The 22,583-nt window shown below is 45.3% G+C and overlaps 1 protein-coding gene across 16 annotated transcripts in view; it reads right to left on the reverse strand.

The window, feature by feature from the left end:
• ERI3 (ERI1 exoribonuclease family member 3) overlaps positions 1-22,583 on the reverse strand; it is a 134,210-nt gene that overhangs the window by 44,610 nt on the left and 67,017 nt on the right. For all 16 annotated transcript variants that reach the window (XM_017002305.2, XM_047430152.1, XM_047430144.1 and 13 more), the window contains one exon: positions 19,156-19,228. In XM_017002305.2, coding sequence (XP_016857794.1) covers positions 19,156-19,228 — 73 coding nt within the window. The remainder of the gene's footprint in view (positions 1-19,155; positions 19,229-22,583) is intronic.

A 22,583-nucleotide genomic window follows, 5' to 3' on the forward strand; every position in this document is an offset into this window, starting at 1 on the left:
ACAATGAAATATTATTTGGCAGTAAAAAGAAATGAAGTACTAATTTATAATACAACATGGATGAACCTTGAAAATATACTAAGTGAAAGAAGCTAGTCACAAAAAAAACCACATACAAGAAGTTCCCAGAATTGCCAGAATAGGCAAATTTATAGAGATGGAAAGTAGATGAGTAGTTGCTTCAGGCTGGGGCATTTGCGGGGAAATGAGAAGTAGCTGTTAATGGAGTTTCTTTTAGTGGGGACAAAAATCTAAATTTAGATGGTGATGATGGTTGCACAATCCTGTAAATATATTAAAAAACAAATTGTACACCTTAAATGGGTGAATTGTATGGTATATAAATTATATCTCAATAAAACTCTTTTTTAAAAGAAGTTAATTCTGATCAAAGAAGTGCAAGAAACCCACAGCAGGCTCATCAACTGTGAACAAAGTCAGAGGAGGCTCTAGCACCATGCCTAGCTTTCTGAAGGCACTTGATATAGGCACTTGATGTAGGTGTGTGAAGAGGGAGGAAGTTCCACTGGGAAACTGGAAAAGTCTTCACTGAGGACATAAGAGGAGTTAAGTCTTGAAGGATAAGCAGGAGTTCACTAGGCAAGAAGGCAGCAAAGGACTTCCTAGCCAAATGGAATAACAGTGAATAAGGCTTGGAAGTAGACCATACAGGCTATCTTGACACAGCTCAAAGGGACTTGGAGTGTCTCAAAGGTCAGGCTAGAGAGCTTATACTTTGTTCAGTAGACACTAAGATTTTTCAAGTAGAGAAGATCAGTACATTGATAGTCTAGGGTTTGATGGTTCAGGCACAGGAAACAACTTATCACAGTTCAAAGGGGATGGTTTTCGGAATCACAATATCCAGAGTTTAAATCCTTAAGTCCTTCTCCCAATAAACTCTAATGACCAGTGACGGCTAGGATTTTGTCTGTTTTGCTCACTATTTTATCCCCAGTGCTTGGCAGAGTGCCTGACCCAGTAGGTGCTCAAAAGCCATTTACTGAATGAAAATGAATGAATGAATGGCTATGTTGAACTCAATCCCATTTGACACACATTTATTGAATACCTACCATAAACCTTGGCACTCTGGTTATATAGTGTGAGCTCTTCAAGGGGAGGGTCCCCGTCTGATCTCTGATCTCTGCCCTCAGTGCCTTACGCAGGTTCTGTTTGGCACAGGGCAGGTCCTCAATCTGTATTAATTCCCTTCCCTCTCATAGTCTACGTAGTTTCCTTAAGACCCAGTGAATTCCTAGATAGGCTCGTCCTGAACATACCACTGTAGCTAGTAAGAGAAGGGAAGCTGAAGGGATGGAAGGCTTCAATAGAGCAATAGGAGCAGGTGGCAGTGCTAATGATATTTGCCCCAAAGCAAGCCATGGTGCTCTAGGAGGCCAGTACACAATCTGAGTCATCCAAGCTGGTAAAGAACTGGGTGGGAATGAGAGACCATTCTCACAACCCTGTCCTGCACCCAAGGCAGTGGGCCTAAAGCAGGGAGAAGCTAGCATACTTAGGTAAGGTGGAAACATAAGCTACAAGACTTGTAGGTGGATGAAGAGGGGAAGATCTGGGGCTTATTTCCTAAGCAGTTTGTCCTGACCCTGGAGATCTGCCATTTCCATATCATCCTTCTGGTTAGGAGAGCCCTCCTGACCACAGTAGAAAGGGGCTCATTCTCCCAACCCCCAATTCCTATGGGCCTCTCCTCCCCTCCTTCTTCTTCCCTCCCTTTCTTTCCTGCAGAGCTTCCCTCAAGCCATAAAAATAAAATAAAACACAAACACCCACAGTCCAGGAGGAGGGCGTTGGACAGATAATGGGCATTTTATATCTTTTTATGACACTCCCCATAGGCAGCTCAGCAATCACAGCGCAATAAAGGCAGGCATGCAGCTTGCATAGTTAAACAACTGCCGGGTAATTAGGCACAGCAAACACACCACTGGGGAGGCCTCAGGCTTGCCCTGGGATCTGCCTGCAGCCCGCCTGCCTGCTTGCAGCCAAGTAGGTGCCAAGCCCAGGCCTAGCAACATAAGACCTGGTTGTGGTGCTGGGGACAGGCCACTGACAGCTGCCATAAACACGCTTGGGTTCATGCCTGTGCAAACTCAAGCCTACCTGCCCACACCCACACAAAAACACTCCCTAAGCCAGCCTGGACCTTATCTCCCCAGGAGGGCCACCCTCTTTTCCAAGTAGGGCAATCTAGGGTATCTTGAGGGCCCCGCTTTAGGGCCTTTGAAGAAGTCACAGCAGGCACTAGCAGGGACTAGCTCATCGGGGTAGCTCAAAGCTTATCGAGTGGCACAGGCAGGAGGCACAGGAACATACAGACGTGTTTACATGGATCCTCTGTCTCTTGTAAATTTTTACTCAGTACAGAGCTGAATTCAAAATAATTTTTAACACAGATGATTCATACACACCCTATATACATATTTCTATCACTGTACTTACCACTTCTATTGTGTTTTTCCCCCATCTGCCTATTGACCCATCCATCTTCCCTACCAGACCAGGAGCTCTGTACAGGTGGAGATCAGGTCTGAGTCACCTCTGAGTCCAGAGGTCCCAACCCATAGGGTGACTGGTGGCTGGAGGTGAATATAGATGTCCCAGCCCAGGCAGAGCACAGGACTCTTGCTACCTGAGACCTAGGTCCAGGGGATGTTAGCCCGAACAAGAGAGAAATGTCTTTATTAGGGCTGAGGGCACTGTACCATACATTGCCCATCTCTTCTCTAGTGCCCCAGCTGGTCAAATTCAGAAATTAAAGAGAACTGAAAACCAATTAATGGGAAAAATAAATAAAAACCTACTACAATCCCACTTGAAGACTGAGATAGCCAAAGGTCCCATCTATAGCAGCCATCCAGATCAGCCCTGAGGAGTCAGCCAGGGAAAGGTAAGGCACCCAAGCTCAAACCACTCTTCCTCCAAGGCAGGTGACAGCAGGCCAAGTCAACTCACAGAAAGACCATGGGTTGAGCCAGCACGGTCACATATGAATGTGAACACACATCCAGCTACTTTTCCTAGTCTCTACCTGGGCATCACTTGGTGTCTGCCAAGACAACAAATAGAGGATAAAAGACCAGAGGAAGGGCCTAGGCTGCTCCCTGCCGTTAGGGTACTCAGAGGCCCCTCTCCTTTCCACCCACAAAGAAACAGGGAGACAACAAGCTTCTTCTCACCCTGTATTCTCATGGTGAAGCCCAAAGCCTAAAAGCATTTGGCTTCAGTCCAAGCCAGCCCAAAATGTGACAAGTGACAGCTATCCAAACTCCTCCACAATACCTGAGTCCCTAGCTCTCCTGTCCTGATGCCAAGCAATGCCCTGCCTTCCCTGGACCCTCAACTTCTTCCAATGGGACAGTGGAGCCATCCCAAGGCCAGACATTGTAGTTGGTAAGGGTAAAAGTGGAACTTCTGCTGTCTTCCTTGCATCTGTCTCATGTTTAGATGGGAGCAAAAAGGGAAAGCCTAAGTTTCCATGAATGATCTCATAGTGGCAGAGGTAGAAGAGGCCAAGAGACCACAAGAAGAAACTCCCTCATCCAACTCCCTTATTTGTTAGATGAGAAAACTGAGGACTCAGAAAGGGCAAGTAACCCAACACCAGAGCCCACGTCTTTAGTTTCTAGCGTCAAGTTCAGTCCAGATTTCTCTATGTTACACCATACTGCCCTCCAAGGACAAGGGCCTCATCTGCCCACCTCTAGTGCCTAGAGTCAGACCACAAATCCCATACTGGCACATTCACCCACATTCCCATTTGTGGGCCCGTGCACACATAAGAATATACACAGACATACTCAAGCCTGCACAGACCTCCCCAATTGGGTGAATGCACTTCTTTAAACACATACAGACATGCATATACAAATGGGTACACCCTCTTACACACACAGTGGTGTCACTCTCAAGAGACCTGGAGTACAAGGCCAATCCCTATCCTTGCCCATTCACTGACTTTCATTGAACACACAACTGATAATGGCTGCTGTGTGTGCCTGGGTCTCCAGTTCAAACCAGGCCAGACTGCCTTCAGGTGGTATCTGCTATGGGCCAAGTGACAAGAGGGAAGCTATGGAAGGAGAGAAACTGAATTTGCATCCTCCTGGTCATGTGGTAGGCAAGCTTCTGAGTTTCTATTTCAGCACCCATAAAATAGGGACAATAGCCCTCACAGCCCCTCAGTAGCTGTGAGGATTAAATGCAATCATGTGTGTAAAGTATCCAACACAGATGGCATCAACTGGGGCTCAATGCATTGGTGTTCTATTATTACTGATAAACATGGTGAAACCTGCCTTTGCAGACTGACCTACAGACAGTGTGGGAGATGGAAGGCAGGACTGTGCTTCTGGCCTTGAAGGAAGTTACCCTGTCTTTTCCTCATCTTTTCTGCAACTACTCCCAGTTTCAGGGTCTAGAGTAGCAACAGCAAAATCAAAAGAAGGGGAAAAAACACACACACACACAAAAGAAACCCTGGGACAAGGCAGACTAACTTTACCCTCTCAGACTCAATAGATAAGTTCATCTTTCTCCTGCCACCACACCCCATCTTTCTCCCAAACTGTCCTCAGCTTTTCTACAGTATTTATGCCTCTTAGTTTACTGAAGTCCCCTCTATTTGCCTAGCTCTGTGGATTAAGAGAAGCGGCTTATCTAGTCCCTTTCCTCAAGTGGCTTGTGGTTCCTCACCCAGACAGACCAGCCCATACACAATAACAAAGAGGCATGGGCTCTGAGCTGCACTGGGCCCTAGTAACTGGCCCAAAGTGTTGGAGTACACACTCAATAGAACACCTAGGTTTAAATCCAGGTCCCAAACACACCCAGCAGAGCTCCCAACTTTCCTGTGCTCCAGAGCAAGCCCAGAATTCACTTCCTCAAGGACTCAAGAGAGGCAGGTGAGGCTCATCATGGGACTAGGACTAAGAGGCTGCCTCATTTGACAGAATACAGACTCTAAGCAGCAGCCAGCAAGAGAAGGCAGGCCCTAGGGTGGGCCTGCCACGGAGGGCACTATAAGAACTCCAGAGGAGAGGTCACTTTGCAGCAGCTGCAGGGAACCTTGAGAGAAAGACAGAATCCCAGCTGCCTTGAGCTGATTCCCTCACTTGCTTCTTTCCCCTGTGTGGCCACACCCACCAGGGATGCAGAGCAAGGCAGGCTAGCTCTCCAGCTGAGGGTGTGCCAAGCTGCTCATCTAACACAGAGTGCCAGCATTCCTCTAAGAGCTTTACAAGCATGATCTAATTGATTCCCCACATTTACCATAAGGATATAGAGGTCTTCTGCCAACGGTCTCAGACTGTCCATAGCTAGTATGCTAAAAGGTAGGGTGGCCACTTCCCTCCCTGCTATCCCTGGCCCACGGGCTCCCTCTTCCCTTCATGCACACAAACGTGGCAGTTTTCTGGAGCTACTGTACCACTCTTAGAAGGCAGCTTAGGCTGGCACCACTCTAGACACTGGCCAATGATTGCTTACTGCACATGCTCACTCTCACTCCTCTTTCTCCAGTAAAAGCATACACATGGCTGGTCCACATGAGTAGCTTAAAATACCTGAAAACTGCTGTGTGTAGTTCCCTAATCCTGCAACGTGCTTCACCACTTCAGGCCTTTCTTTACACTTCTCCCTTTGCCTGGATGCACTTGCACCGTCACCTGAGAATATACTCATCTTTCAACACTCAAGTATCTCCACCAAAACCTTTCTTGATTTTCTCTCCCACACCCCAAATAAAAATGACTCCTCCCTCCTTTGCACTGGCAGCAACAAAGTAAAGCAGTTAAGAGCATGGACTCTGGAGTCTACTGCCTAGACTCAAATACTTACTCTATCACTCACCAGCTGATGAACCTCTCTGCCCTTCAGTTTCCTCACCTGTACAATGGCTAATAATAGAACTTCTCCCTTAGAATTGTTTGAGGATTAAGTGAGTTAATTCATATAAAGCATTTAGAACAGCACCTGGTTTTATTATTACTATTAATTATCTCTACCTTACAAATGAAAAAAACCAAGGTTCAGAGAAGGTAAGTAACTTGTCCAAGATCATAACACAGGTAGATGATAAGGCCAGGAATTGACCTAAGGTGAATGTGCCTCTGTACTCCATTGGACAGCCAGGCATGCTGATGGCAGCTGGAATCAAGGGTGTGAGATGATCGACTCTGTCCCGCAGTGTGAGCTGAGGGTAAGCTGGTCCAAGGACAGCATTAAGCTCATCCTTGCCAATGCTCACATGAACTCTGCTGTGAGAGTCTCTTTTTCCTAGCTCCTGCCCACAATGTCCTGTATGTCTACCTGGATCTCCCGTCCCCCTGACTCCTCTTCTCCCGATAGCCTAGTCATCTCATCTCCAGTGGCCAGTACCAGGGACAAGCGAAGGGCAGGGGCATAGTGCTACCATTTTATCCTCAGGTCAACTCTAGAAGGTGGATATGATTTTTCTTGTTTTATAGAGGGAGCTACCAAGGCTCAAAGAAGTTAAGTGACTTTTCTAAAACCCCACAGTTAGTAAGTGTAGAGCCAAGATTCCATATCAGGTCTACTTGACTCCAGAGCCTAAATTCTGTGTGACAGATATTAATCATCATTTACAGGTTCAGAGAGGGACTTGCTCCAGACCACACAGCTAGTGAGTAGCAATATTAGAAATCCAAGCCAGACTCCTCTGGCTCCAAAGCTCTTCCTTTGCACAGCAGTTTCTAGCTGTGAGCCACATCCCACCTCCCCAGGACTCAGCGTATATACCATGTATCACCTGAAGACTAAATGGGGGGTAAATCTCACATACAGCCATACTATTTTTCCAGGTTTTTGCAGATAACATTGTAATTAATAAAATACAGGCCAGGCACAGTGGCTCACACCTGTAATCCCAGCACTTTGGGAGGTTGAGGCGGGTGGATCACTCGAGGCCAGGAGTTCGAGACCAGCCTAGCCAACATGACGAGACCCCATCTCTACCAAAAATACAAAATTAGCTGGGCATGGTGGCACACCCCTGTAATCCCAGCTACTCTGGCGGCTGAGCATGAGAATCACTTGAACCTGGGAGGCAGAGGTTGTAGTAAGCCGAGATCATGCCACCGCATTCCAGCCTAGGTGACAGAGCAAGAGACTGTCTCAAAAAATAAAATAAAATAAAATAAAATAAAATAAAATAAAATAAACTACAAATCCACGTTAAAAAAACAAATTTACTATAGTTTTTTTTTCCATTATGTACTTTATCATTATATACCCAAAATACAAGTTCCACCAAGTCCTGAAGAACGAAGGGAATGTCTGTGGCGTTTTCTGACATTGCTAATAGCTCCTTGTACTCTGTCTGCCTACTTCTCTAAGAGCTCTCCAAAACCACACTTAGGTACCTTTCCCAAGGTACTGTCCTGATTCTTGGTTACAAACTCACAATCGAGAAATGTATTCTGTATGGAATAACTGTCCAAAGGTCAACAGCAGCAATAGGAGGCACAATCCCTTCTGGGACCTGAGTCCCATAAATGCTAAGAACTAATGCAGTTTCCAGCAAAGTGGACCTAAGTCCTGGGCTATGGAAGGAAGGATTCAGGGCAATGAATTTCTGTCTTTCGTACCTTAACCTCTAATTCCTTCCCTGCCCACTTCCCTAAGATACATGGTCTGGAGAAAAGAGCACACTGACCTGGGTTCAAATGCTAGCTTCACCTCTTCCTGGCTATGTGCCTTTAGGCAAGTTTCTTCATTTCTCTAAGTTTATTTGTCTGGGAATTCCAGCAGAGGAATAGGCATCCAGACTCTGGAGCTCATCAGTCTAGCCCAAGATTCAGTGTGGATTAAATTAATGCTTGTTGATGCCTAGTGTGTGCCAGGTCCAGTGCCATGCACTGGAAATTCAGAGATGGGTGGTATATTGACTTCAGTGAACTCACAGTATAGTGGGAAACAAAAACATGTAAGCAGATAATTACAAAAGCATGTGATACACTCAATACAAAGTTCTGAAGCCATACAAAGGAGGAAGTGACTATTTCTACCAGAGATGGGGGAACATCAGAGAAAGCATCACCCACAAGGGTTTTGAAGGATGAACAGGAGTTTCCCAACACACTAAAAGGGGAAAGGCGATGTAAGAAAAGGGAACAGTATATGTAAGGGGAGGTGAGACAGTCATGTATATTTGAAAAACAACAAGTTTGATATGGCTGGAATGTTATGGAGAGACAGGAGATGTGGAGATAGGAATGGTGCAATGAGCTGGATCATCCAGGGCCTTGGTATCTTGCTCAAGAGAAAAGATGGAGCAGAGCCTTCCATACCTACCCTTGGCTCTGGTGCTCTTCCTGTCAAAACAAGCACCCTGCAATCACACCCTTTCCTGTGCCTTTGATTTAAGAGTTCCTCTCCTGGCCCTGACAGTAAGGCATTTCTGTCCCACAGATTATAACTCACTCTGGGCTATTATTCAGCTCCCCAGCCCTGGCCCTGCTGCAGTTAGTCCAAACATAATATCCTTCATGCATATATTATCTGTCTCCCTATTATCTGGAATCATTTCGGAATTAAATTTCAGTCCTGCAATATTGGCTTCAGGAGCGGCGCGCTTTATGGGCTAGTCAAAGGTTAGAATACCAATCAAAGTAACAGTGCCGATGCAGTGAGACATTTTAATATTCCAAAACCTGGTAATTGTAAAAGGACATAATATTTTTTCCCTGATTACCCCAAAGGCAACACATGTTAACAAGGCGAGGGAAGGAGTGAAAGAAATTTCAGAGTTCAGACAGCTGTAAGACATATTTAAAGGAAAAGCCCAGGCTAGGCACTACACCATGGGGGCAGGGAGATGGGAAGAAAGGAGACATTCCCTCTAGCTCCAGCAGCCCCTGACTCCAAAGACAGTACTTTCCCTCCTCTATCTCTGGACTACACTCCAAGAGCTTACCCCAACAGCAGATGTTGCAGAGAATGGGATGAAAGGGGAAAGAGTTCAAGATCTGGAGTCTCAAGGCTCAGGTTCTTGTTTCAGCTTACAATTCAGTAGCCTCCAGCTCCCAAGACTGTTCCCTCCCAGGGTTCCAGCATCAAACCCAGCAGCAAGCACTCTGGGCTGCTCTCCCACTCACTCTCTTCTTATCCCATGCCTGTGCTCACACCTCTGCCTCATCTATACCTAGTGCTCTATGCGTGTGTTTTTTCCCAAAGACAGATGAAGGCCCTGATCTACTTGGCCTGCAGAGCTGATTCCCATCAGGACACCAGCCCACAACTGCCCACTGCCCCATGGACAATGCTCTGCACTTTGGATGATGCCAAAGACCGAGACCACAGCCCCAGCCTGCTTCTGACCTCAGAGGGACCCAGAAGTAACTGCCCTCAGTGCAAACTCTCCCCCTCTCCAAAATAAAACAAAACAAACAGCTTGCAGAGCCCCTAGCTATTCATACCTCTCTTGGTTTTCATTTTTGTTTGTTTTTTTTTCCAAGTTAGCTTCTGAATGGCCCCAGTAGAGGAGCTCTGTGGGCAGCACCTTGCAGCCACCCTTCTATAGAGTCCTAGCTTCTGTAGCAGCTTAATCCCCACAGCCCCCAAAAAGTGAACTGGCTAGCAGGGTTTTGGATCCCCTCACTCCTGATGACTTCCCAGCCAGCTCAGCCCACTTGCTGAAGCCTCCAATCTGCATCATCCCGACCTGCTGACCTGCTATGGCCCCCAGCAAAGAACTTCATTAAGGCCGAGAATTTATTCCTCCATAAGCCCTTAATTTATTACTGCACTGATTGGGACTCTGAATGCTCCAAGGTCAGGAAAAGTCACACTCAATCGTAGACATCAACCCTCCCTTTGGCAGTTTCTCCTGCTGCACCCTCCCAGGGGAGAGGGAGAAACAGAATGTTTCTTGGAGGGACCCAAGATTTTCTTTAAGAGCTGGTCCTCATCCAATCCTCTTCGGAGCACCCAGAAATTGCAGCAAGGCATAGTGTACGGATGGCAGAGGAAAAGTGGAGCAGCAATCTTCATACCCTGATATATCAGGGTCTGTTAAATTCTAGGTGGCCCTTATCCCTACAGCTGCTGGGTTTGACTGGCTGAGCCCTGTCTGCCAGGACTGACTCAGAATCCTCCTAAGGCTGCCTGCCTGCTTCCCCAGAAGCCCACCTCCCTCAGTCCATTTTGTGTTGCTATAAAGGAATACTTGAGGATGGGTAATTTATTTTAAAAAATCGTTTGTTTGGCTCATGATTCTGATGCCTGGAAAAGTTAAAGATTAGGCATCGGGTGAGTGCCTCAGGCTGCTTCCACTCAAGGCAGAAAGTGAAGGGGAGCCAGCTTGTACAGAGATCACACGGCAAGAGGAAGCAAGTTGAGACAGAGGGGGAAGTGCCAGGCTGTTTTTAACAACCAGCTCTCTTGGGAATGAATAGAGTGAGAACTCACTCACATCCCTCACTCCTGCCCCAGGGAGGACATTAAACTATTCACTCACAATGCAGACACCTCCCATTTGGTCCCATCTCGAACATTAGGGATCAAATTTCAACATGAGATCTGGAGAGGACAAACATCCAAACCATAACACCACCCTATCAGGCCCAGGCGTCAGAGGGAATTCCACACAATTTGCAAGTATGTGCAGTGTGCACACACTTGCATGGCTATGTGTGTAGGTATGCATTTGTATTACATTTATACATATGTGTCCATGCATATGCAATAGGTAAACATATTTTATGTGTGCATGCATACATACACATACATCCTTATGGAGGTCTCTTCCATCCTTTCTGTTTTTTGATTCCTTATTCATAATAACATTCTTTTCCATACAACATCAGCTACCCACTTCCATGGCCATACCTTGGAATCTGCCAACACCTAGAACTGCCCCATCCCTGAAATCACTAATTCAGACACCTATTCTCTAACCATAATCTCTAATCCTTCCATCTGGCATGTTAAACTATATCCACTATACCAATTCCTCATTTTGTTGGTACTTATTTACTTTTTCCATATCCATCAGACCCCCTGCTATCTTCTTTTCCCCCAACATCCAGCTTAGATCCCATAATCCATCTTGCCAACTGCTCTCTTACCAATATTTTCAATTCCCTATCCCTTTCATCAAACCTCCCTGAGGAAAATCTCCACCCTGAATGAATCTAAATGTCTACTTTCTCCATGCCCACAACCAGGCAGCTGAGGTCCAATAAAGAAAAGTCATACAATTGAACAGAGTGGTTCCACAATGAATTAATACCATCAACCTCAACTGGATCCTCAACACTGCATAGAAATCCTACTATACTTCTCAAGTCAGCTCACACATCTATTCTTTAGTAGAACTACGGCAAGCCTGTAAACTCTCCCAGCCCTTCCCTATTAGTGATCAGCAAATGACTCATCTGTTTCACACAGAAAAATAAAAGCCATCAGATGGTAACTACCTCAACCTGCTGCCACCAAATCTACAAGCCTACCTACCTCCATTTGTGCCCATCTTCCTCTCCTTCCCTCCTGTCACAATAGAAGCAGGGACCTTCCGCCTAAAGAGAGCCAATTTCAAGAGCCTAGGTTCTCCACCCCTTCTCCTCTCACCTCCTCAGAGGCCTCCCTTACTGGCTTCTTCTCCCTCCTGCACCTTCAACAGGATTTCCTTCTCTAATAGATCCTACAGAAAAACACATGCCTTCTACCTTAAAAACAAAACCCGCTTTAACCCCTACTTGCCCCACCACAGCTCTTGTCCTTTCTCTCACCTTCAAAGCAACATTTCTGAAAAAGTTGAAGTTTCTCCACCTCCTCATTTCTCATTTACTCTTTAGTTCACTCCAATTTGGCTCCTGTTCCTATCATGCCACTCAGGACCAAGGTCACTGAGGCCCTTGTTATTAACAAGTTCAGGGCTCAAATTTTAGTCTTCATCTTGTGTAGCCCTCTCTGAACTGACCACTCCTCTTCTTCTGAAACACTTTTTCTTGGTTTCTGCAATACCACACTCTTACAGTCTTTCTTCTTCTATCACTTTTTTACTCTCTGTCTCTTCAGCATTTAGCAAAACTGAATTTAAGTTCTGGCTCTGCCATGTACTACTGTGAAACCATTGAGCAAGTTTCATCATCGCTCCATGCCTTGGTTTTCTCAACCTTAAAATGTGAAAAATAATAGCAACCACTGCACTGGGTCCTGCGAGGACTAGACAATGTAGGTACATAACCATAGCGTCTAGCACAGCACTGTCCAATAGAAATATAATGTGAGCCACATATGAAACTTAGAATTTTCTAGCAGCCGCACTAAAAAGTAAAATGAAACAGACAAAATTATTTTAATAATATATTTTATTTTAGTATATCCAAGTATTATTTCACATGTAATCAATACAGAAAATTACGAGACATTTTGCATTTTTTCATACCAAGTCTCTGAAATCTGACGTGTAACTTACACTTACTGTACATCTCAATTGGGATGCTAAATCTTCATCAGAAATACTTAATCTGCCGAGTGCAGTGGCTCGCACCTGTAATCCCAACACTTTGGGAGGCCGAGGCAGGTTGATTGCTGAGGCAAGGAGTTGGAAACCAGCCTGAACAACATGGCGAAACTCTATTTCTACTAAAAATACAAAAATTAGCTTGGCATGGTAGCACACACCTGCAGTCCCAGCTACTTGGCAGGCTGAGGCACAAGAATCACTTGAACCCAGGAGGCAGAGGCTGCAGTGAACCAAGATCATGCCACTGCACTTTAGCCTGGGCAACAGAGCAAGACTGTCTCAGGAAAAAAAAAAAAAAAAAGGAAATACTTAATCTGTATTTAGATTTTATACAATTAACAGTTTAAAATGTAGATTCACCAACTCAGGCTGTACTAAACATAAAATTTTTCAAGAAAGTTTTTAATTAATTAATTTTTTTGAGATGGAGTCTCGCTCCGTTGCCTAGCCTGGAGTGCTGTGGCACAATCTCAGCTCACTGCAACCTCCATTGCCTCCCGGGTTCAAGTGATTCTCACACCTCAGCTTCCCGAGTAGCTAGGATTACAGGCGCCCGCCACCACATCCGACTAATTTTTTGTATTTTTTAAATAAAGACGAGGTTTTGCCATGTTGGCCAGGCTGGTCTCAAACTCCTGACCTCAGGTGATCTGCCCACCTCGGCCTCCCAAAGTGCTGAGATTACAGGCATGAGCCACTGCATCTGGCCAAGAAAGTTTTTAATTTAAATTGATTAAAATTAAATAAAATTTAAAATGTGTTCTTCAATCATACTAGCTACATTTCAAGTGATCTACTGCCACATGTGGCTAGTGGAAATTATGTTGGAAAACACAGGTCTAGCACACAAAATGCAATCTGTAATTCAGGACTATTTATTATATTCTCTATTTTTGACTATTCCTTCTGTATCTCGCAAATGTTGGTATTTCTCAGTGTTCTATCCTAGGCTTTCTTCTCACCCTATACCCTCTTCTTTGGCAATCTCATCCACTTCCATGCTTTAATTATCAATCACAGACCAATAACACTGCCAATTTTTTTTTATTTCTTTGAGACAGGGTCTTGCACTCCAGGCTAGAGTGCAGTGGTACAATCACAGCTCACTGCAGCCTCAAACTCCTGGGCTCAAGGGATCTTCCTGCCTCAGCCTCCCAAGTAGCTAGGACTATGAGCATGCATCACCAAGTCTGGCTAATTTTTACATTTTTTTGTAGAGATGAGGTCTCACTATGTTGCTCAGGCTGGTCTTGAGCTCCTGGCCTCAAGTGATCCTCCCACCTCAGCCTCCCAAAGCACTGGGATTACAGGTATAAGCCACCATGCCTGGTCTTCAAATCTGTATCTCTTATCTAGGCTTCACCCCTGAGCCCCACACCTATGTACTTAACTGCCTCCTCAATGTCTCAAAAGCATCTTAACACATATGCCCCACAATGACTTCATCTTCTTTTCCAATTCTGAAACTTCTCCTTCTCCCATTATCTCAGTCAACTCATTCCAATTCACTCAGTTGCTCAAATCATAAATCCTGGGGTCATCATGGTCTCTTCCTTCATCCTCAACCCTCACAACCAATCACCATTTGCTGTTTATTATATAATCAGTGCTACTATAATACTCTTTGAAAAAGCAAATTTGTCCAATGCAACTGATGTATTGGGAACAATTTATAGTAACACAAATTTTGCATTTGTTAATGTGCAATTTTGTTCACAAGAAACACTAGATAAACACAGGAAACTATACCTCACTGAACAGGGCTGGGTAGGAATACATAAAACACATACATGCACACATCTTAAACATCTACCAGCCACCTAGATCACCACATGTTATGGACCACATTCATCTGGTTACAATTTTCCATCTGATTTCAGATGATCTTCTTCCACTACTTCATAACTCACAAGCTGCAACCCTTCTCATGCCCATTTCTATAAGCAAACTTCGGGGTTTTACAGAGTAAAGTACCATATTTATTGTGGTATTTATGTATTTCTTAAGCATTTAATGTGTAAAACTATGCTACCATTTTTATTAGATTCCTATCTTTTATGTGTCACTAACTGAATTTTTATTGCATGACTTTCTCTAGCATGGTGATTTTCAGAAATCTCTATGTTGCATTATAGCAGAACTGACTAAACCATTTAATACTCAGGAATTGGCCCATTTCTCTACATTTCCACTGCTATCAGTTCAATCGAAGTAATTACCATCTTTCACCTGGACCACAGAAACAGCCTAATTCTGTGGTTCTCAACCAAGGACAGTATTCCTCCACTCCCACCCTGTCCAGGCCACTAGAAATGTATACAGGGTGATATTTTTTATTATCACAACGACTCGGAGAGGGTCACTATTGGTATTCAATCAACAGGGGCTGGGGATGCTACAAGTTCAGCAATGTCACCCACACAATGATCTGTCCCACCAAAAATGCCAAACATAGCTCTATCAAGAAAAACCAGCAACTGGTCTCCTGTATCTGCTCTTAGCTCCCTCTACACTGCAGCCAGAGAGAACTTTCTTAGAATGCAAATCAGATGATGCCCCTCTTATATTTAATACCCTTTAACAGCTTCCTCTTACCCTAAACATCAAGGTCAAAATCAAAGTGTGGTCTATAGGCTCCTGACTTCCTTCTAGCCTCATCTCATGCCACTCTCCTTTTGCCACCTTCACTACATTTTAGGCATTCATTCACTCAACACATAAGGATTAAACATCTGTGTGCCAGGAACTATTCAGAGCGATGGGGGTAGAGCAGTGAACAAAAGACACAAATTCTTTCTCCTCTTAGAACTTACATTCTAGTTTCATGAAGCTGCCAGGCTTCTTCTCCTCACCTCAGGGTCTCACCACATGCTACATTGTGCTTAGCCAATTTCAACTCATTCTTCAGGTCTCAGCTTAGACATCCTTCCTCAGGGAATTATTCTCTGACCCTACCCTACTAAGTTAGTTCCTTCTTACATGATCCATGACTCTGAACTGTTTAGTGTTACTCAATGCAACTAAAATTATTTATTCAACATCCACCTTCTTATATCCCCAGGCCCTCACACAGTACCTGGCACACAGAAGGCATTCAAAATATTTGTTTATTGGCCAGGCACAGTGGTTAATGCCTGCAATCCTAGCACTTTGGGAGGCTGAAGAGGGAGGACTGCTTGAGCCCAGGAGTTTGAGACCAGCCTGGGCAACATGGCAAAACCCCTTCTCTACAAAAAATACAAAAATTAGCCAGGCATAATGGTGGGCACTTGTAGTCCCAGCTACTTGGGAGGCTGAAGTGGGAGGATCATCTGAGCCCGGGAGTTCAAGGCTGCAGCGAGCCATGTTTATACTACCGCATTCTAGCCTGGGTGACAGAGTGAGACCCCGTCTCGAAAAAAAAAAAAAATATATATATATATATATAATATATATATTCATTTATCGATGAAGAGATATATATATGTTTACCTGTGTGCATGTTATCTTTATACTTTATGAATATGTATGTATAAACACCTTCATGTCTGGGTATGCCTGCAAATATTTCTGCAGGTGACTGCTTATAGGAATATGTGCATATACATGAAGGCATGTATGGATACAGACATGCAATTTGGAGTATACTCACTTGGGCTGTATGCATTCACATGCATATACATGTGTATATTTATACATGTGCATATGTGTGTGTGTGTGTGTGTGTGTGTGTGTGTGTGTGTGTGTGTGTGTGTATGTATTCTTCAGGCCCCTCAGTGACAGCTCTGATCTCCTGGAGGGAGCTGGGAGCAGGGCCCCAAGTCCTGTCTAAGATGACAGCTCAATAAGAATATAAGATCATTCAATGACATTCCAAATGTCAGCAAACACGGGCCTGCTCCACTCTGCTACAGGGGAAGTAGGTGGCAGCAGGAGATGTGGAAACTTGGCCATTGAAAAGTTCCTATTTCCTGATGCAACCCACACCATTTCTGGAGAAGTAAGGGCAGCTGAAAGACATTTTGCCTCTTCTCAGATTAGAGGTCTTAGGAAATAGGCATGGTGAATTCATGCCCAGTTGCTCACTCACTAGGCAAGTCTCAGGTGACCAAGCAGACCAGGACCTTTCCCACCTTTCTCAAGGAGTAATGCTCTGCTGGGGGAGCAGAGGAGGAAGAGAGAAGAAAGGGAAGGGGGAAACACAAAGTAAGATCAAGGACAGGAGAGGACCCTGTAGAGAACCAGAGCCTGGGTCACACAGGGGACACAAGGCATGGAGTAAGTCTTTTACATAATATTCCTGCAACCTTGGCAATGACCTCTCTGGCTTTGCTTTTATCATTACTCTTTTTAAGCAGGAATCTTAGTGCAGCCTGCACCAAGTCACACAGCATAAAGGTCAGAAAGAGTACCATGCCCCTGGGCCTCCAGACTCAGCAGCCTCTATGTCCTGAATGGCTGTTGGTAAGGACTGAGCTAAAGTCCAGAGTTAAGCCACCTCTCCTGTTGGGCCTTTAAGCACATTTGCAATACAAAGTGGCTGGAGTGCAGAGAGGAAGAGGTTAGACCCCTTATGTCTCCCAGACTTGCTCAGCTTACCTCACACGAGGAAATCACAAGGCCAACTAGCAACAGAGTCCTCAGTTTCGCCTTGTACCTACTATTCCCTTCCTCTTCAGGTCAGCACAGTCTGCAGGGGAACCAAACTGAACAGACTCTGGGCAGCCTGCCTTTACCCCCACCCTTTGGGCCAGCAGCACCAAGGTGGCCCTGAGTGACAACGTTACCACATGGGTCGGCTGCTTTCCTGCCTTTCTGCCAAGGAACCTGGAGGCAGGGAGCTATCCATACACCAAAAAGTCTAGTGAACTTCACAGGGTAATTGTTCATGGTCAGCGCCTGCCTCGCCTGGCCGGGCCTTCACATTGCATTTGCTGAGGCCAGCAAGCAGCCTCAGATGTGCTCTGACAGCTGGTATGCTATGTTCCAGGGGTCCATGCCTAGCCCCACCACATGCCTAGCTCTGCCTTGGGGGACCTCTATGGAACTAGTTCTCAAAGATGAATCCGTCAGCCAGCAATTACTCACTGAGCACATACTCTATACCCAGCCCTGGCCTAGCCACTGGAGACACAGAGAGGAACCAGACTTCATCTCTGTGATCCAGATGGCCATGTCTGGAAGGAAATACACATGGATTCAGTTTCAACTGAGATAAGTGATTTCCCAAGTGCCAAGGAACCTCAAGGCAAGAGACTGACTGCTGGGCTTCTCAGCAGAAGTGATACCTGAGGTGAATCTTCCAGGGCAGGGAATATGTCTGATGAAGATGACTGAGGGACATTTCAGACAGAAGGCAAGCCATAGAGCAAGGCCCAAAGCCAGGGGAGTGCGTAGCTTTTTCAGCACAAGAGGAGTAGTAAGCAGCAGCTGCCCAGTTTCATGGGAGATCAGCAGGAGAGGGGGTATGAGTCAAACTGCAAACAAACCAAGTGCAAAGCACCTGTCCACCAGTGGAAAGCAAACAACTTCACAAATGATGCCACAAAGCATGGAACTAAGTCCAAGGTCATTGTCAGTGTGGCACAAATACTTATAAAGCTTTCTCTTCCACTGCTCCTCCACATGTTTGCTTAGCTCCAGCCCCCACACACACCAAAAGCATGCTGCCCTCCCTGCTGAGAAAGCATTCTCTCCTCCTCCTATCCATATCCCACCTTCCTTGAATGCCCAGGTCAAGACTCAAATCCTCGCCATACCTAGCCTCACCCCCCTTGACCTCTCTCTTCTCTAAGCCCCCTGGGAGCCACTACCTTGACCCCCGGTGTGTTCTCCTTTCTCTGAGCTTCCTCTGACTGGTAGCATGAGGTTCCTGAGGCTGTTCCAGGACTGCTGCCCTTAGGTCAGAATGATTTATGGGGGTGAGTCTCCCTAGTGGACTGGGCCTCCTGGAGCAAGGATTCCTCTAGAGCAGGGATACTCTGCTAGGAAAGTACAGTTTTCTAAGTGATTCATTCTCTGCCAGGGCTCACTATCGTAGCCACACATGGTCCTTGCCGGTCCATAGCCTGAGCACCAACTCCCCAGGTGCTTGATTCTACATAAGTTCCAGTCTCTGCCCTCATGCCCAAAGGGAATTGGACTCTAGTTTCCATGGCTCTTCCTCACATGAGCCAGGCTCTCCTGGAGCAAGGCAGGAACAAAGCCAACTTAAGTGTACTCTGCCTCCCAACCAGAGTGATATATCAGGGCCAGTTAGGAGGGTCAGAGACCACATTGATGATGATAACAAAGGAGAATACTTTCCCAGAGGCTCAGCTAGTGCCATGTCTCTCCTAGAGACAAGCCAGCTCTGCCCACAGATTCAGCTCTGAGCAAGAGCCCCCCAAAATCTCCTTAACTGGGACTTCTCTGCCTGTCTGGGGGACACCAACTAGGGCAGTGTCATAATCTGCCCAGCAGCTGGATCCCCAAGCAGCTCTCCACAGTCAGAAATAACCACATTTCAGTGCATATTAGCTAAGGAAAAGGATGAAGTTAAGAAAAGAGAAGAACAAAAAGAAAAAGAGGGAGAACAGATATAAGAAAAGAAAGCAAAGGACGGGAGCTCTGAGGCACAAGAGCACCAGGGGAAGCACCCAGTTGGGGCTCAGACACAGTACCTTTTTCAGATTAATCCACTGCTTGAAGTAATCCGCCACTGGCAAGCCCAAGTACTGGCACTGGCCTGGGAGCCTACAAAAAAAAGGGAAGAGAGAACAAGTTGGGCGCATCCATGTCCCAGGTATGAAGTCTTAAGATGGGAAGTCCAACAGAGCATACAAGACAAACAGACCTCAAAAGGTCAACCCATTAGCCATGGGTCCCACCCCACCAAAGAAAGGGAACCCCACCTCCAGCACCATGGACACTGGGCTCCAGCTCTAGCCCTCAGATCCAAGTGTGAGAGCCCAAAAATTCTTTCCAAAATAATAGCAGCAGGCCACTATTTCCTAATGGCTTACAGTATGCCAAGTACCTTATATTTTCACATTTAATCTTCAAAGCAATGCTGAGACACAGGTACTGTTGTCTACATTTTACAGACGAGAAAATGAGATGTAGAGAGGTTACCCAAGGTCCCACAGCTAAAACATGATAGTGCCAAGAACTGAACCCAGTTCTGTCTGACTCCAAAGCGTATGTTCTTTCTATGCACTGGTTTGTTATTTTGTTACAGCAGAGAGGCAGACAGACAAGATAGGAGGAGAGAAAGGCAGAGTATATGACTTAGAGATAGATGAGCAGGGGTTTCAGCTCACATTTAAGCCTCTGGCTACAGGTTTGTTTCAGATAGAGAAGAGGCCAGGTAGAAGGATAAGAAGAGGTCAGAATTCAAATCAAGGGTCTGTTCTTGTTTTTTTTCTTTAAATTAGAATTTATCAACTATCTCCCCCTCTAGCTGGTGATGGTTTTACTCAGACAAATCCATTCAAACAAACATGCACTGATGCTTAACAAGGGTCAGGAACTTACGAGTCAAAAAGTAAGATGTAACTCTTGACCGTAAAGGGCTCAGTTTGTTCAGAGGTATGGGCAATGAAAGAAAGACAAAAAAAGCCTTAAGTTGGAGTATGGGGGCATATGCAAGGATGGAGGAAGACAATACTGGAAGTATCAGCCAGGAAAGATCACAGTCTTATTCCTAAGAGAAGAGCTTTGCTACAGGCAATGGAGAGCCTCTGATGAGTTGTGATTTACCAAGATTGTTCTGGATGCAGCAAAAATAATAGACTAAAAGAGCAGGGTAGAAGCCAGTAGAGAGAAACAGTAGTGGAAAAAATGGTGATCAAGGAACAAACATTAAGATGTAAAGGAGGCCCCAGTGACTAAATGAAATGTGGGACCCAGTGAGAAAGCAGTAGACCTCTGCTTGGCTAGCTTCATGCTACTCACTAAGATAGATCCAAAGAAGTAAGCAGTGGCATGGAGAGCCTATGTGACATCTGGAGCAGGCCAGCATTTGGTCAATTTTATTATTGTTTTAAAATGCTCTACCTGTAGCATACCCACTTTCTGCCCAAACTGTGGGAGAACTGCTCCCCTGCCCCATCTTTAGTACGCCACTAGAAGGAAGCATGAGTTTGGGAATGCAGTTTTAGACACATGCTTGATACGCAATAAGCACTCGATGTCTGCTGAGTTTGAGGTGCCTAGTTTGAGGCACCTAGGAGATATCTGGCAGTGGAATGGTGTCTCAGAGGCAACTGGATATCTAGTTTTGAAGAGAGGTCTGGAATAAGACCATGGATTGCCAAATCATTAATATAATTATTAATGTAATCATTAACCTAAGTAAAATTAAAGCCAGGAGAGTAAATAAGATCACCCGGGGAACAGAATAGAGCGAGGTGAGCAGAGGGCCCAGGCTAATGCCTTGCAAGTTTTATTGAGCTAAAATGAAACCAGGTTACCCCCATCAGACCATCATCACACACAAGGACCTCACTTCATGAAGCGGCCAGATCTAATTTTGGACTCGATTCTTAGAACATCCTTCCTTAAACACTAGTCTGTCTCCCTGTAACTTCTACCCATGGGTCCAAAGTATGTCTTTAGAAAACACAGAGAACAATACTTCCATCTTTTCCTCACAGAACCCTTCCAAGATCTGAGAGTCCAGAAAGCTTCCATCAGAGTTCCCTTCTCCAAGCCACATATCCTTATCAACTTCAAGAGTTCCTAAGGAGACAATATGCCGTGAGTCAGGACTCACCCAACCTATCCCCATTCCCAAAGGGCAGGGCCCCAGACCTTTCTCAGGGTATTAGACACCTAAGATCAGACATGCTCTTTTGACCCCACTTCATATTACCTGTGGTCAACCTAAACTGTGATAAAAGCATGCTTCCCCTTTCTGCAATATATAGAAATGATTTTTGAGTTTGAAATGTAAATCATTAGTGTCAACTGCCATAGAGTGGTCAAGCAAGATGACAGCTGAGAAAAACCCAATGGATTTAGTAACGAGGAGGTCACAAGTAATCTTGGCGAAAGGGGCATCAGTGGACTGAGTGTGGGAGGCAGAAGGCAACCTGCAAAGTGTGGAAAGAGTGAGAGATAAGACAGCGGAGATTACAAGTGCAAAATCCTTTTCTAGAAAGTTTGGCTACAAGAATCCAGTTGAGATGACTGATTCCACTCCAGAAAGTTCAAGGCAGTCCGGCCTTCCCTCCATTACCCTTCAAATATTTGACAGATAGTAACAGAAAATTGATCCCTTTGTTTCAGGCAGTGTATAGTAAGGATTTACTTTTATAAGACCCAAGATATCTCACCTGAATAAGAGGCTACTCTCAAACATCCAAGTGGCACAGTGACATTAACTACAACTGGTCAGTTTCCTGGAAGGGAAATTCTGGCTGAGGCCAACATGATGAAGGGGTATCCAGATAGATGTGCCCATGTGGGATGAAGGACCAAGAACATGAGGAAATGAGGCAAGGTTTTTAAGGATGAAAGGTAGCCTTAGGAGCTAGAATGTGGTTGCCTAAGAAGCAGAGCTGTAATCTGACAATAATTCTATTTCCTTCAATCTTTCTTTCATGTTCCTTATCCTTCATATTTGTGGAAATGCTTGCTGAACTCAGCTATTTTAGAAAAATCACATTAAGGTCTATGAGTGAAGGGGGCCACCAGAAGCAGCAGAATCTACAAAGGAATAAGCCAGGGGGACTGGCCAGCAAAAGGCAGGGAGCCTCGATCTTATTCTCCCCTAGCCAACTGCAGTACTCTCTGATTCTTTTAGTTGACACAGGCCAGGAGTCCTTTTGGCTCTGGCTAGCCCTGGGAGAGGGATGGGCTCTCTCTTTAGCAGAATTTTAAGGGTAGACATAGCTGTAGGCATTTCCACTGCCTAGGAAGGGTCTAGGTCAGTAGGATGATGCCTATTCTTCTCAGAGGAAGACCTATCCCAGAGGGGCCACACTGAGGACAGACCAGACAGTCAGGTTGGATACTCAGCCTGAGATATGGCTCAGCAGCAGTCCTGAGTGCCATTCTGAATCCCATGTCTGACTGATGCACATGGGGGTTAGGCACTATAATTCTC

The sequence above is a fragment of the Homo sapiens genome, chromosome 1 (assembly GCF_000001405.40).
Source record: "Homo sapiens chromosome 1, GRCh38.p14 Primary Assembly".
Classification (NCBI taxonomy): domain Eukaryota; kingdom Metazoa; phylum Chordata; class Mammalia; order Primates; family Hominidae; genus Homo; species Homo sapiens.